General features: G+C 57.2%; 1 protein-coding gene across 17 annotated transcripts in view, besides 4 other annotated features; it reads left to right on the top strand.

Moving 5' to 3' along the window:
- Positions 1–402: part of an enhancer, noted in NCBI's record as "H3K27ac-H3K4me1 hESC enhancer chr7:549933-550440 (GRCh37/hg19 assembly coordinates)", that runs on past the window's edge. NCBI's record gives its function as "activates a minimal SCP1, AML or CMV promoter by ChIP-STARR-seq in naive H9 embryonic stem cells {active_cell/tissue: H9 hESC(naive)}" and the evidence as "EXISTENCE:reporter gene assay evidence [ECO:0000049][PMID:30033119]".
- The window catches only part of PDGFA (platelet derived growth factor subunit A), a 23,443-nt gene extending 10,003 nt beyond the window's left edge, over positions 1–13,440 (top strand). For 9 of the 17 annotated variants that reach the window (NR_172526.1, NR_172527.1, NM_001395365.1 and 6 more), the window contains 2 exons: positions 9,456–9,582; positions 12,124–13,440. Coding sequence is in view for 15 of the 17 variants with exons in the window: in NM_001395365.1 (NP_001382294.1) it covers positions 9,456–9,582; positions 12,124–12,134 (138 nt within the window). In the remaining 2 variants the exon portion in view is untranslated. Of the gene's footprint in view, positions 1–9,455; positions 9,583–10,198; positions 10,268–12,123 lie in introns of all 17 variants that reach the window. The other 8 variants (XM_047420456.1, XM_047420455.1, XM_011515415.2 and 5 more) reach the window with 1 other exon arrangement.
- Positions 6,223–7,000: an enhancer, noted in NCBI's record as "H3K27ac-H3K4me1 hESC enhancer chr7:543335-544112 (GRCh37/hg19 assembly coordinates)". NCBI's record gives its function as "activates a minimal SCP1, AML or CMV promoter by ChIP-STARR-seq in naive H9 embryonic stem cells {active_cell/tissue: H9 hESC(naive)}" and the evidence as "EXISTENCE:reporter gene assay evidence [ECO:0000049][PMID:30033119]".
- Positions 13,409–14,329: an enhancer, noted in NCBI's record as "H3K4me1 hESC enhancer chr7:536006-536926 (GRCh37/hg19 assembly coordinates)". NCBI's record gives its function as "activates a minimal SCP1, AML or CMV promoter by ChIP-STARR-seq in primed H9 embryonic stem cells {active_cell/tissue: H9 hESC(primed)}" and the evidence as "EXISTENCE:reporter gene assay evidence [ECO:0000049][PMID:30033119]".
- Positions 14,330–15,251: an enhancer, noted in NCBI's record as "H3K4me1 hESC enhancer chr7:535084-536005 (GRCh37/hg19 assembly coordinates)". NCBI's record gives its function as "activates a minimal SCP1, AML or CMV promoter by ChIP-STARR-seq in primed H9 embryonic stem cells {active_cell/tissue: H9 hESC(primed)}" and the evidence as "EXISTENCE:reporter gene assay evidence [ECO:0000049][PMID:30033119]".

Raw genomic sequence — 15,251 nt, 5'->3', positions numbered from 1 at the left:
CCGGGGCCGCCCCTACCAAGCAGCCAGGGTCCCTCCTGCATCCACCACCACAGCGTCAAGGTGAGCCCTGCCCCTCCCCTCCTCTCCCCTCCCCTCCCCTCCCCTCCCCACCCGAGCCCAAGGGCCGCCCCTACCTAGCAGCCAGGGTCCCTCCCGCGTCCACCACCGCAGCGTCAAGGTGAGCCCTGCCCCTCCCCTCCCCTCCCCACCCGAGCCCGGGGCCGCCCCTACCAAGCAGCCAGGGTCCCTCACGCATCCAACACTGCAGCATCCAGGTGAGCCCTGCCCCACGCAGGCCTGAGGGTCGCCCCTACTGGGTTGCCAGGGTCCCTCCTGGGAGGCCACAAGGTGCCCCTGGTGTGGCTGGTGGGGGTGCACGGCTGCGCTCCCATCTCCCTGGCAGGTACACTGAGGCCCAGGGAGGAGAAGGAGCACCTGGGGGTGCGGGAAAGGCAGGGCCGGCCGGGGCTTCTGCTCTGCTGCTCTGGCGACGAGCCTGGCCTCCTTTCCACGCCCTAGACCACAGTGCGGGGGCCGTTTTGGGCCTTGCGAGGTGTCGAGCTGCTTAGCCGGAAGCTGTCTGGCGTCCCCGGGCCCTGGAGGGTCCTGTGCGGGCTCTTCAGTGGGGGCCGAGGTGCATGGCAGGAGGAGTAGGGGGTGGATATTCAGAGCCTGCATTGCCTTTTGAAGTGCCTGACCTTTGGAGGGCCCCCCCGGCTTCCCCCCTAAAGCAGCCCAGGAGAAGGAGAAGGAGTGCTTGGGGTGGGCTCGAGGCCAGACAGCAGACTTCCTTCCATAGAATCCCAGGGTGAGCCCCTCTTTCTTTAAGTTGGGGGTGGTGCCTGCCTTCTTCAGGCTGCTTTAGCAGAATTCCATCCACTAGGAGCTGATTAGCAACAAATGTATTTCTCAAAGTTCTGGAGGCTGGAAGTCCAAGATCAGGGCGCCGGCAGACTGTGTCTCCGCTGGAGCCGTGTTTTCTGGGTTCATAGATGACACCTTCTCGCTCTGCCATCAGTGTGAGGGGCGGGGGATGAACATGCTCCCTAGGCTGCTTTCGAAGGGCACTAATTCCATTCATGAAGCCTCTACCCTAGAAACTAATCGGGCCAGGCGAGGTGGCTCACACCTGCAGTCCCAGCCACCGTGGAAGGCTGAGGCTGGAGGATCGCTGAGCCTAGGAGTTCAAGACCAGCCTGGGTAACATGGCAGGACCCCATCTCTACAAGAAATACAAAAATTAGCCAGGCGTGGTGGCAAGTGCCTGTCGTCCCAGCTACTCTGGAGGCTGAGGTGGGAGGATCCCTTGAGTCGGGAGGTTGAGGCTGCAGTGAGCTGTGATGGCATCACTGCATTCCAGCCTGGACAGTAGAGCAAGACTCCGTCTCTAAGAAAAAAAAGAGAAAAAAGGACTTAATGGCTACCTTAAGACACCCCACCTCCTAACGCCGTCCCCTTCATCTGGGATTTCAGCGTAAGAATCCTGGGGGTGCTGGCGTTCCTGCCACAGCAGGGCCTTCCTCCCTGGGGTTGCGCTGGGGGAGGAACAGCACCCGGGTGAACTTGCTGAAGGTCTTCTTGCGTTGCTGAGGCCCTGGGGCTCATGGCTGGGCCCCTTCTCCCTGCTTTCAGGGAAGTGTGCCCAGAGACCTGCAGGATGCAGCGCCCTGGGTGGGCTGGCTTTGGCCTGTGTTTGCGCCTCTCTGGCCTCATTTTCCTCACCTGTGCAATGGGTCTGAGGCAGGGCCTGGCCCTTCTGGGAGAGCCGAGGCTGCTGCCATCTTGTTTGCAAGGGAGGTTTCCTGCCTGTTGGGGCATCAGTCTCCCGTTTTCGGGATGGGGTTGCAGGGTGAGTGTCTAAGGTATCTTCTAGCTTCTGTGAGGCCTGGCTGGGGCTGGCACCTCCCTGGGGCTCCCATCTGGGAGGGATGGGCTCTCTTAGGGCTCTTCTCCCTGGAAACTGGCTTCAGTTGGGTTAAAGTGCTGTTGATGCTCCCACCTGACCTGCAGGACCCATGAGTTTGAGCAGTGGGCACAGGCGGGTGCGGCCCCTAGTCCAGGAGGCTGTTGCTTTGACTCAGAGCCTCCTGGCTTGGCCTCAGCTGAGAATTTTTTTTTTTTTTTTTTTTTTTTTTTTTGGGACAGCTTCTTGCTCTGTTGCCCAGGCTGGAGTGTGGTGGTGCGATCATGGTTTGCTGCAGCCTCGGACTCCCAGGCTGAAGCTATCCTCCCACCTAAGCCTCCTGAATGCTACAGGTGCATGCCACCATGCCTGGCTAATTTTTAAATTCTTTGCAGAGTCGGGGATCTCGCTGTGTTGCCCAGCCTGCTCTGGACCCCCTGGGCTCAAGTCAGCTGAGGATTTGGTGACAGCTGAGCCTGCTTTTCCTGGAATATGGGGTCACTGAAATGATGTTTGAGGATTTAAGTTTTGGGGCTACATTAGTAACCATTCTTTAACTTTAGAAAAGAATTATTTCACACCCCCGCCCCCCACTGTTGTGACTCCTAGGCCCCGGAGGGAGATGGGGCGGCGGGGAGAAGGTTCTCCGGGAAGGACTTTGCAGCCAGCCGGGTCGTTTCCTCGTCACACGACCGGGCACTTTAGACCCATAACTGGGACTTATCTTGGCCTCTGGGGACTTGGTCCTCTGAGGTGCTGGGTATTGAGTAAGCAGATTCCACATCTTACTACCCGGGATCTCCAAGGCCACTCACTCCCCTTTTGAAGCCCCAAGATTTTTCCAGGGCCCTGGGAGTGCTTGTCTGCGGCACTCTTCTGTCCTCAGGATATTTACCGCCGGGGGGTCAGGGAAGGAGGGGAGGGGAGGGCCTAACTCAGGCCTCCAGGTCCAGGTGTGGCTGGGTCCCCCTGGCATGAGCCCCCCTGGCATGAGCCCAGCACCATCCCCTCTGTCCTGTGTGCCTCCCTGGGGCGCAGTTTCTGCCTTTCGGTGGGCCTTGGCATCCTCCCTGGTTATATTTTGGAGGCCCTTGTGAGCTCTGAGTCCGGGATGCCTGTGGTCTTGTTCTCATTAGAGATTCTCATGTCAGTTCTGGGTGCTGGGGGAGGCTTGGAGGTACGGGGAGAGGCTCTCAGCCCATGGCTCAGCCTTGTGCAGCCCCTGCCCTTCCCACCCTGGCCTGTCATGGGGTGAGGATAGGAGGGCTTGGCCCTACAGGGCAGTGTTCTCTCCCTCCCCCGGCCCCCTGAGGAGGCTGGGTGGGGTCTAGAGGCTTCCAGCACCCTCTGGCCAGTGCAGTGTTGGGGGTGAGGGCCAGTTCCCCGCTGGGAGTGGCCCCTGCTTTGCTCTGTGCAGTGGTAGAGCCAGGACCAGGGCTCTCCCTCTGGGTCTCATCTGCCGGGACAGGGTGTCCTAAGGCCTCAGGGCTGTGTCCTGCAGCAGAGCCTGGCGGCCCAGTTCCCACCTCCTCAGACCCAGGCCCCCTTCATGTTCCCGCTTCTGGGAGGCGTCTTCTCCCTGCCCACCCATCCGAGGGTTGGAGGAAAACATCCGGCTTTGGACCCAGGGGGCTTTGGCTGAGGGGACAAAGGTCAGAGGGAACAGGAGGCCCATTTTGGAGGCTCAGCCAAGAGACCGGTCCTGCCGCTGCGGATGGAGGCGGCTGTCAACCTGGCGAGGAGATGGGCCCCAGAGCCTCAGACTCTGTGCCTGTGAGTGGGCATGGATGGGGTCAGCTGAGGTCAAAGGGGTTGGGGCTGGCCGGGAGGGGCCCCCAAAGTCTGTCCACCCAGGATGGGCATGGCATCCCCCATTTCCAGTTTTTATGCCTTTCCGGTCAACATTCAGAGGTCTCTTGTTAGAAGATGGATGGTAGTGAAGCTGGGAGTGTCACTGCCTGGCACAGACCCTGCTGGGATCACCAGGATGTGACTGACCGGCAGCCCTGGGGGAGTGACTGGCCGGGGTCCCTAGCTGGGTGGGTGTTTCCTTGCACTCTGCCTGGCACAGTTAGCTCTTGGTGCCTGGACGCCCGACTCTCCCCCAGACCCAAGCCTCGGGGGTAGGACAGGAGTGTGGGCCTGAACGTGGACCATGGGGATGAGATGCCAGCCCGAGGACTGCAGGGGTCTAGCCTGGACGGAGCTGGCTCTGAGCCCACCTTGCTGTGCTGGAGGCTTCCAGAAGGTGTGTGCTCACCTGGTGCTTGGGATGGGCCTCTGCTCCCTGGAACAGAGTGGCTGGGGTGTTACGGGTGAGAAGCTCCCAGCCACGACTCTGTCCACTCTCTGGGGTCTGGTGCAGGAGTCTCTAGGTGGGCGGAGTGGAGGTCCTCTTGAGCCAGGCTGGGCAGGGGCCTCTTACACGAGCTTGAGGTCTGGGCATTGCTTCCATTCTTAATGGATATGGGGGCAGTGCTGAAGGAGGCAGGATCTTCTTTTTTTTTCTTTGTTATAAAGACAGGGTCTTGCTTTGTTGGCCAGGCTGGTGTCAAATTCCTGGGATCACAGGTATGAACCTCCTCCACGCCCGACTTGAGGGATTTTTTTTTTTTTTTTGAGACAGAGTCTCACTCTGTTGCCCAGGCTGGAGTGCAGTGGCCCGATATCAGCTCACTGCAACCTCCACCTCCCGGGTTCAGGCAATTCTTCTGCCTTAGCCTCTCGAGTAGCTGGGATTACAGACACTCACCACCACGCCTGGCTATTTTTTGTATTTTTTTAGTAGAGATGAGGTTTCGCCATATTGGTCAGGCTGGTCTTGAACTCCTGACCTCAGGTGATCTGCCCGCCTCGACCTCCCAAAGTGCTGGGATTACAGGCGTGAGCCACCGCACCCAGCTGGGGTCCTCATGACCCAAGTCAGCATCTGGATTGAGTGACATTCCAAGTCTCTGTCGAGAGACACCCAGGTGGGGCTGTGGGGCGGTGGGGCCAGGGCTCTGGACTCTAGGCTTTCTTTCCGTGAAAGAGGTGAGAAGGAGTGCAGGCTAGGGATGGAGATTCAACGCTGTGTGACTCTGGGCAAGGGGCTTCCCTTGTCTGTGCTGTGTGTTCTCATCTCTAGAATGGACCACGATGGTGTCCTCACAGGGTAGCTGTGAGGGTTACAGTGACGGGCACGTGCGGTCCAGTCAGGTGTCTTTCATGGCTAATACTCTGTCTTGGAGCCTTGAAAGGGTCAGGCCGTAACCTGGAGTTGGGGTGGGGTCCCCCGCAGGGAGTGGCTGTCCCAAGCCCTCCTCAGGGGGTCTCTGCAGCTTCTGGGCTTTGTAGCAGTAGGGACTCGGCATCCCAGGTCTAGAGGGGTGACGGCATCCCTGGGTTGTAGTCTTGGGTGAGTTCGCGCCGGGAGTGTTGAGGTGGGGCGGCTTACGACGCAGATGAACTCAGCCGTGGGGAATCGGAATGTCTGGTGTGATAAGGTGCAGCCCACATCTCTGGGACGGAAAAAGGGGAGGGACATGGGGACCCCCCCCATCACTTGGGCTTCGGCTTGGGGCCTGGGGGCCGGGGTACCCCCCGTGGGGGTCCTGAGGACATTGTAGTCTGTTCTTTGGACTTGGCCTTCTTTTATGGAGGAGGTTTTTGTGAGAATCCAATATTCATTTTGTGTTCTTGGGAGAAAAATGTAGCTATTTCCTGGCCAGACAGAGGTGGCGGAACGGCCCGGAATCCTGGCATACTCAGAAACAGGTGCAATCATCGCTGTTTGTTTTTGTTTGATAAAAACGGGCTTGTCTGAGGAGGCAGTGGGTTCCCAGACGAGCGGCCGTGCCATGTGCCTTTCGCACGGTGCCCAGAGGGGTGGCATTTCTGTTGTGTCCTGGGAGCCCACGCGCCCGCGGTGGCCGGCCATCTCGAGTGGTTGAGAGCGAGCCTGCCCCTCGCCTGGGCGTCTGGTGTCTGGCCAGACGGGCCTGCGGTCTCTGCCGAGCCAGGCCCTGGTATCTGCCCTGCCGAGGGAACTAGGTGAGGCTGCTTGTTGACCAAAGAGGCTGTGCCATCCGGAGGGTCAGGGCCGGGAGCAGAACAGGGCGCCCTGCCCGAGCCCATCCCCACGAACCCAGATTTCAGAGCCCACCTGCCCCATGCCTCACTTGGCCACCCCTGCAGAGGCTGGGGGTGGGTGGGAGCAGCAGAGTATGGGTGCTTCGAGCCTGGGAGATGGCAGGGTGTGAGGCTGGTGCTGTTCCTCCTGCTGGGACCTGTGTCCAGGGCCTCCAGGGGAGGGGAGGAAGGAACTCGGTCCCTGCTGAGGCAGGAGGGGGCTGGGCCTGGTTTTGCGCACTGGGATCCCTAGTTACTTACTACCTGGGCAGTTCTTGACTCAGGGAGGGCTGAGGACATGCTTGCAGGGCTGGGGGTGGCTGAGGTCCCAGGTGGCCCTGCTGCTCCTCTTGGGGCTTTGCTGCAGTTCATCCTCGGGCCGGGCCTCTCCGACCCCAGGCCCTCAACAGGAGGGTGGCTCTAGACCCACTCTCTGCCTGTGGTGGGTGGGTGGTGGTACTGTGCTGAGCTTGGGGACCAGGGGGTGGGTTGGTTTTGGGGCTCTGGATTAGAATCCACGCCAGTGGCAGCCCACTCTTGAAGGCTGGCTTTGTCCTCGTTTCTGGGGCCTTCTGCATGTGCAGCCTCATTTATTCCTCAACTCCTGGGTGGGTGTGATTGGTCTCCGTTTTACAGATGGGAGGTGGAAGTGTGTGCACGGCCTGCGGAGGCCTCTCTCTGGAGGATTCTGTCCTGGGGAAAGGGGCAGATTGCCGCGGGAGTGTGGAGGCTGATCTGAGGCCTCCCGAGTGGAACGGAGCCCCATGTAGGAAGCGGCAGTGTCCTGGCCGCTTTCTCTCACGCTTTGTGACGTAGCGAAACCTCCCAGGCCAGGTCCTGTTTCTGAGCTGGCTCCTGACCCCAGGCGCCCCACGCCCTGCAACTGTTGAGCTCATACTTGGCTGTCTGCTCACGCCCCAGGCAGCCCAGACCACTTCACACGCCTGCAGGCACCCTTTGCACTGTGGGTTAACCATTAACTCAGCCTCGGACAAGCCTGGTCCCCAGCGCCTTAGGGACCGGCTTACCTTCGGAGCCTGCCTGGTCCCAGGGTGCAGAGCTGACCTTCTCCCTGGGGGCCCTGCTGATGCCCAGTCTCCAGAGTCTGGAGTCCCCCCTTCCCCCCAAGAAGGTTGGGAAACATTCCCCTCCTCCCTCCTTCACCCTCCTGACTGCCTGGGAGGCAGGGCCACTGGGCTGGGGGCATCTGGCCTTGGGCTGAGGTCTCCTCATTCACCCAGCAGCGTGCATTCCCCCACGCCCCTGTGCTCAGGGGGTGACCCGGCCTCCGTTTCCTTTCTAGCCTCAGTTTCCCCATGAACCGTGAGGGGTGAAGTGGGTGATCCATAGTGGCTGTTCTTGCATTTAGACCCTGCATGCGGCAGGGCTGGTTCCGTGGGCACAGATGGAGCGCCTGCTGGGTGCTCAGCTCCCCAGGGCCTGGGAGGGCAGGAAGGTGGTGGCTATTCCCTGGTGTGTGCTCCAGGGGGCAGGTGGGACAGCCTAGCAATTAGGGACAGGCTTAGTTAGAGCTTGCCTGCGCCTCAGTTTGTTCTGTAAATGGAGGTGCCAGTCTTGCCTCCTTGTAGCATGGTTGGGAGGATGAAATGAGTGCTGGGGTTTGGGCTGGGAGAGCCAATACTCTACTCATGCAGTCCCTGGCTGTGTATTAGGGGTCTGTTGATGCCAGGCGTGTGCGTGCTTGCACTCTGTGTGTGTAGTAAGATTCCCACGATGGGGCCCCTGTGTACATTACACATGCATGACTGGTGGGGGGTGGAGTTGCCTCCCCATGACAGGGTATGTGTGTGCATTATACAGGTGTGTGTGTGGGGTGGAGTTGTGTTCCCGTGACAGGGCCTATATGTGCATTATGTGTGTGTGTGTGTGTGTGTGTGTGTGTGTGTGTGTGTGTGATTTCTTGCCTCTCTTGTTGAATGCCTGAAGCTCCCCTCTCTGGCCTGGACTGGGCCATTGTCTGCCTGCAGCTCCCCGGGGAAGGGGCTGTGGAGGCAGGACCCCCATGTTGTGGTTTTGTGCCTGGAGAATTGAGGGCAGGCGTGGCTCGCAGACAGGCAAAGTCCAGTCCGAAGAGGGGAACCCAGCTGAGGTCTGGTTCGCTTTTGAGCTGCCTGTGCCTGATAGCCACGGCCTGCTGGCCTGTGCTCCTCCTGGATCATCTTGTGTAGCCTCGGTGATGGCCCAGGATCCCTGGCCCTGGTTTCCGAGGTCAGGCCTCTCCGAGCCCAAGGAGAGCCTCGGACCTGGGGGAGCCATGAGGGGACCCTGGGTATGGGTCTGCTGGCCCTGCTGCCTGGGGCCGGCGGGGAGGTGGGGCCCTCATCAGGCCAGCAGCTGGGATTATCATCTGGACGCTCAAGTCCACAGCAACCTTGGGCTAGGATACAGCCACGAACCCCCCATTCCTAGGCCATGGCTTTAAATTTTTTTTTAATATTAATAGAGACAGGGTCTTGGTGTATTGCCCAGGCTGGAGTGCAGTGGTGTGATACCAGCTCACTGCAGCCTCAAACTCCTGGGCTCAAGCGATCCTCCTACCTCAGCCTCCCAAGTAGGCTGGGACTACAGGTGCCACCATGGCTTGCTAATTTTTAAATTGTTTTTAGAGGCAGGGTCTTACTATGTTGCCCAGGCTGGTCTTGAACCCCTGGAGTTAAGTGATCCTCCCGCCTTGGCCTTCCAAAGTGCTGGGATTACAGGCGTGAGCCACCATGCTCAGCCTGGCTTTTAAAATGTATTTAAAAACAACGTGATCATTTGAAAACATTTCCCAGCTGCACATCCACACACAAGCAAACACTTTCCCTGGCCACCTGCACCCCAGAACTCCCAAACTTCCACACCTTAGCAGTGTGCATCCTTCAGCCCCCCCAGGCACACGTGAACCTTTGGGTTTATTTTAAACAAAAATAGGATGAGTCTGCTAAATACCATGCTCCAACACCAGGCGCGGCGGCTCTCACTTGAAGTTCCAGCACTTTGGGAGGCTGAGGCAGGAGGATCACTTGAGTCCAGGAGTTCAACATCAACCTCGGCAACATAGCGAGATCTCATCTCTTCCACACAAAAAAAATATTTAAAATTAGCTGGGCATGGTGGCCTGTGCTTACAGGTGGGAGGCTGAGGTGGAAGGATCACTTGAGCCCAAGAGCTTGAGGCTGCAGAGGCTATGATTGGCCTAGGTGACAGGGTGAGACCCTACTCAGAAAAAACTAAAACACACACACACAAAACTGCACTGCAGCTTGTAGGTTTTTCACCTGGTACTGCTACACTCCCCACCACAAGGTAGTGTTTCTGGGAGGAGGTCAGGGGTCAGGCTGCTCTCTCCTCCCTCTCAGCCTGTCCCCGGCTCCCAGCACGTCGTGATGTCCGAAGCTCCATGCAGGCATTCATGGCCGGGCTCTGTTCTCTCTGGCAGGTGGCCAAGGTGGAATACGTCAGGAAGAAGCCAAAATTAAAAGAAGTCCAGGTGAGGTTAGAGGAGCATTTGGAGTGCGCCTGCGCGACCACAAGCCTGAATCCGGATTATCGGGAAGAGGACACGGGTGAGTGGCTGCCTTCGTCGGCATCGGTGTTGGAGAACAGGTCTTCAGAGCCTTGCTTTTGGGGTGTTAGGTGGCCCCCTTGAGCGCAACGCTTACTGCTGTGAGCATCTGGGCTGCTGTTGAAGGATTCGTTGCCCTGCTCCCGGGCCAGATGCCTGCGGGGGAGACGGATCCCACACCTGCAGGTGTCCGGTGGGGAGGGTGGCCCAAGCTGCGGCACTGGCAGGAGAGGAGATTCAGGTCTCACTGAGAGGGGCTGGGAGTGCATAAGACACCCAATTCATTAGTGGGCTGCGGGGCTGAGCTGAGAAGAATCTGCAGAAGGGCCTCCTGCCAGGGTGGGCGGGAGGAGCAGGTTCGAGGACTGCAGTTGCCCTGGCTGGCTGGGGTCTCTCCTTCACCCCGCCACGCGGACTCCACCCAGGAGCAGAATGGCTTCTGTGCCCTGCTATGGCTGGGCCCTGGGAGCATGAGGGGACTCAGAAGTTTCTCGGTGCCAGGGTGCTGGCCTTCTCTTCTGGAAAGATAAACAAATGCCGTAGGTATTTGTTGCTTCAGTTCTTCACCCCGACGGCCGTCCCTCGGCCCACTCACCGCCCTGCCCTTTTGTTAACAGGAAGGCCTAGGGAGTCAGGTAAAAAACGGAAAAGAAAAAGGTTAAAACCCACCTAAAGCAGCCAACCAGGTAGGACTGTCTGCCGGACACACTGAGTCCTGCAGGGCGGGGAGGTGCAACTGACTGATCACACCAGCAAATCACGCTTCCTGTCTCGCCGGGTGCGGCGGGGATGTGGCCCTGATTGGCCTTGATGGTGTCTGCTGGGCTTGGGTCTCCTTGCTCCCCGTCCGCTCCTGCCTCGCAGAACGCCCTGGCCCGTGGCTCACTCCCGCTTGGGAGCCTGCCTCCAGCTTTGTCCTTCTCTTTGTCGTTGATTGGGGATGCAGGAGCATTGCACATGAATGGAACAGGTTGGGCGACCTGAGCAGCGGTGGGGCAGCTCTGAGCGCCTGGCCACTCTGGGATCACCCACCCCATTTGACAGATGAAAAAACTGAGGCTTAACTGAGATTACAGATAAGGACTGTTGGAGGCTGAATATATCTGGAAATCCTTTATAAACGTGCAGGGCTGTTGGCTACTGTGTTGGAAATTGCATTTGGCTGCTAGTAACACCAGACAGCACAGGGATTGAGATAAGATCGAGCTTCATGACTTTCATCTAAGGGTGGGATTGCAGAGCAGGGAGGGTAGTCTTGAGGTATCATCAGTGTCCGCCTTCTGTCTGGCTAGTGGCATCCATCTGCAGTTGCCTCATGGCCCAAGGTGGCTGCTAAAGCTCCAGAAACCACATCTGTGCTCCAGGCTGGAAGAAGGAGTGAGCGGGGGGGGGGGGGAAGGGCAAAATAACACCCTTAGAGAGCTATCCTGGAAATCCCACCCAGTGACTTTTGTGTTTTTCTCAGCTGCCATCCCTCCACTGCAAGGGAGCTTGGGAAATGTCTCCTAGCAAGACATGTCGCTTCCCAGATGGAGGTGGGACCTGGGCAGCCGCCATCATCACGGAGGAGGCAGTTTCAAGCCTTCCTGGTCCTTGGCATTGGCCCGTCTGGCTTGGGAAAGTTGGAGCCCTGTCTGGCCTGGTTCCCCCTCCTGGCACGTGGGACTCCATGGTGGCCAAAACAAATAGTTTCTTTAGAAGAGAGGAGGATCTCAGAGATAGGGTGTCTGAGAACCCTGGCTCCTGTTTGCAATGTGGGACTTGGGCCTGCGGGTGAGGTCCATTCATGAGGAGCCTCTTGGGAGGAAATTGTCCACTTGGGCGGGTCTTTGAAGCAGTCCAGGACTGTTGGTCAGCCTTGGCTTTGTTTGCTGAAAGTGTGGCCTGGTGGGTGGTTTTGTGCCTGCCTGTGGGTCCCATTTCTACAGAGCGTTAGGCTCTGGCCTCCATGGGCCTGCTGGTGACAGACCCCATGGTGAGAGGCTGGCACTCCTGTTGTCCCATGCCTGGCTGGTACTCATGTTCAGCCTATAGGCAGCCCACGTGTTGGAGTGTGCGATGGAGAGGCCACATGGGATGTGGAAGAATTGTTCTTAAACGATCAGCATAGGTCTGCCTGGGTGCAGACTCTTCTGTCTGGCTGGTGGCCTCCATCCTCAGGGTTGTCTCATGGCCCAAGGTGGCTGCCAGAGCTCCAGAAATCACATCTAAGCCCTAGGCTGGAAGAAAGGAAGGCAGAGAGAAGGGCAAATGAGCCATTCTTGGCCTCAGTTTCCCCCATCTGTACAATGGGAGAATGGGGCTTGGTCTCTAGACATGTTCTGTGAGATGCTGTGAGCCTAATCCCAATTCCTGTCAGGGTACTGCAACATGGCCAATGTGGCAAATGTGATTCTGGAAATTTCTTGAAAACTTGAAATCCCTGTGTGCCCCTGATTGGGTTAAATGTTTTCACCCTGTTTTCCTCCTATGCAGCCATGTGTGTGCTGGGTGGTTCACTTGGTCGGTGGTCTCAGTGTCTGTCTTTCCCTTCTCCCTGCAGATGTGAGGTGAGGATGAGCCGCAGCCCTTTCCTGGGACATGGATGTACATGGCGTGTTACATTCCTGAACCTACTATGTACGGTGCTTTATTGCCAGTGTGCGGTCTTTGTTCTCCTCCGTGAAAAACTGTGTCCGAGAACACTCGGGAGAACAAAGAGACAGTGCACATTTGTTTAATGTGACATCAAAGCAAGTATTGTAGCACTCGGTGAAGCAGTAAGAAGCTTCCTTGTCAAAAAGAGAGAGAGAGAAAGAGAGAGAGAAAACAAAACCACAAATGACAAAAACAAAACGGACTCACAAAAATATCTAAACTCGATGAGATGGAGGGTCGCCCCGTGGGATGGAAGTGCAGAGGTCTCAGCAGACTGGATTTCTGTCCGGGTGGTCACAGGTGCTTTTTTGCCGAGGATGCAGAGCCTGCTTTGGGAACGACTCCAGAGGGGTGCTGGTGGGCTCTGCAGGGGCCCGCAGGAAGCAGGAATGTCTTGGAAACCGCCACGCGAACTTTAGAAACCACACCTCCTCGCTGTAGTATTTAAGCCCATACAGAAACCTTCCTGAGAGCCTTAAGTGGTTTTTTTTTTTGTTTTTGTTTTGTTTTTTTTTTTTTTGTTTTTTTTTTTTTTTTTTTACACCATAAAGTGATTATTAAGCTTTCCTTTTTACTCTTTGGCTAGCTTTTTTTTTTTTTTTTTTTTTTTAATTATCTCTTGGATGACATTTACACCGATAACACACAGGCTGCTGTAACTGTCAGGACAGTGCGACGGTATTTTTCCTAGCAAGATGCAAACTAATGAGATGTATTAAAATAAACATGGTATACCTACCTATGCATCATTTCCTAAATGTTTCTGGCTTTGTGTTTCTCCCTTACCCTGCTTTATTTGTTAATTTAAGCCATTTTGAAAGAACTATGCGTCAACCAATCGTACGCCGTCCCTGCGGCACCTGCCCCAGAGCCCGTTTGTGGCTGAGTGACAACTTGTTCCCCGCAGTGCACACCTAGAATGCTGTGTTCCCACGCGGCACGTGAGATGCATTGCCGCTTCTGTCTGTGTTGTTGGTGTGCCCTGGTGCCGTGGTGGCGGTCACTCCCTCTGCTGCCAGTGTTTGGACAGAACCCAAATTCTTTATTTTTGGTAAGATATTGTGCTTTACCTGTATTAACAGAAATGTGTGTGTGTGGTTTGTTTTTTTGTAAAGGTGAAGTTTGTATGTTTACCTAATATTACCTGTTTTGTATACCTGAGAGCCTGCTATGTTCTTTTTTTGTTGATCCAAAATTAAAAAAAAAAATACCACCAACAAAACCCGTGGACGTGAGAAGCGTTTTGTGGTACGTTTTTCTAGCACTGAGTCTAGACCCTGGTTGCCAGGTCATGCGGTGCTGTGTTGGGTGGAAACGGAGGTCAGAGCTTTCTGGGTGGGGTCCCTGGACCTGCCTCCATGGTGGCACCCGTGGGATGCCTGCCTACCTCGGACTTCAGCACCTATGGGGGTTAGGCCGAGGACATCCTCCTGCAGGCTCCACTCCCTGGAGCGGATGAGGAGTGTCAGAGTAGCCAGAAGACCATGAAGAGTTTCATCCAAGAAGGGAGCCCACCTGTCTTGGTGTGTCCATGTGCAGCACTCACCATACCCTGCCCGGGCTGGCCCCTCCACCACCTCCAGGCCCACGAGACAAACCATCGAGGTTGCTTTCAATCTTGACCCCGCGTTCTTCGAGGACCATCTGTGGACTGGCGGCCGGCTGGCGTCTGTTGTCCATGTGCTGCTGGAAGGTTCTTACGAAGGATTATCTTCAACAGCTCATCTTCATGGTGCTGTTTTCAGCCTCGTCAGGGCAGCCTGGAGGCTGGAGGGGAAGTGCAGGGCCAGGTGGTTGCAAGCTGGTTCCTGTTCCTTGGACACCTGCTGGGGCCCTGCCTGGGCCTGTGGGCTGCTGTCCAGATCTGCACCGGTTACAGCGCCTTGCCCAGGAATGTGCATTGGATGTGACGTGTGGCAATGTAACATGTATTTGTTTCCATGAGATGCTGGCGACAATGCTCCATTTTTCTTTTTTGTATAAAGTCGTCTGGTGTAATACCGTGTCCATTAAAGTGATGGGGCAGAAAAGCCAGGTGGGGAAGAGAGAATTCCATAAGAATTCCATAGGTCTGGAGCCCAGGGGTGGCTGAGGTAGCAGTAGAGGTGGGAACTCAGGCCTGCTTTCTCTCCCTACTTACTCCTTCCCTCCCTCACTCCCTCCTTTTCTCCCTCATTGGTTCATCCATGCAGGCGAGGGCCCTAGTGCCAGCCCCTCCTGTCCCGACATGGGGAGAGCCCTGGGGAGGGGCAGGCAGAGTGGAGGCCACTCCAGCCAGGAAGGGCTGCAGTGTGGCGGGGGCTGTGGTCTGAGGCTGGATCCTTTCCGAGCCTCTCCACCCACGTGGGCCTGCAGCCTTTGTCGCGGCTCTGCCCTGCGTTCCCGGGATTTCTGCTCCTGCCTGGGCCCCCTCCCGGCCCCTAGCCCTGGGCTGCACCTGGATCTGGGCTCAGGAAGGTGACTTTCTGCCCAGGGTCAGCTCTTCATGTCTTGTGAGCCCTGTGACCTTGACCGAGGGGCCTCCATCTGCATGTCGGCGTGCACATCTGTGAAACGGAGCTGCAGCTCAGGCAGGGTAAGGACGCCTCGCCATTGACTCACCTGGTGCAGGTCTTGTCTGCTGCCTCCTCCTGCTGGGACTTCACTCCAGCCTCTAGTGTTTCTAGGCCCCAGCATGGCAGAGGACAGAGCCCTTGGGCTCAGGGATTGCTGAGCGGCGATGGTGCCGCCTGTTAAAACGAGGTTCCTGCACCTGCCTGGACACCTGAATGCACCTGCTCACACCGTGCCCTTGCCAGGGGTCATGAGAGCTGGGGCCCAGCCTTTGCTGGGCTTCTCCTTTAGCTTGGGGGTGTTTCCTTTTCTTCACCCAGGCCTCTGTGTCCTGGCTGTGGAGGGGGTTGGAACTGGCTGGGAGAGTCAGTGACGGCAGGTGGTCTCCAGCCGTGGGTCCCTACAGCTGTCTTGGGATTCCCAGCGGTAGGTGAAGCCGAGGCCTGGGTCTTTGCCTGGGTCCAGTGCGCAGAGCAGTTG

Source organism: Homo sapiens, chromosome 7 (genome assembly GCF_000001405.40).
Source record: "Homo sapiens chromosome 7, GRCh38.p14 Primary Assembly".
In the NCBI taxonomy this organism is placed as follows: Eukaryota; Metazoa; Chordata; class Mammalia; order Primates; family Hominidae; genus Homo; species Homo sapiens.
The sequence above is the reverse complement of the archived record's forward strand: the minus strand, read 5'-3'. Positions and strand labels throughout refer to the sequence as shown.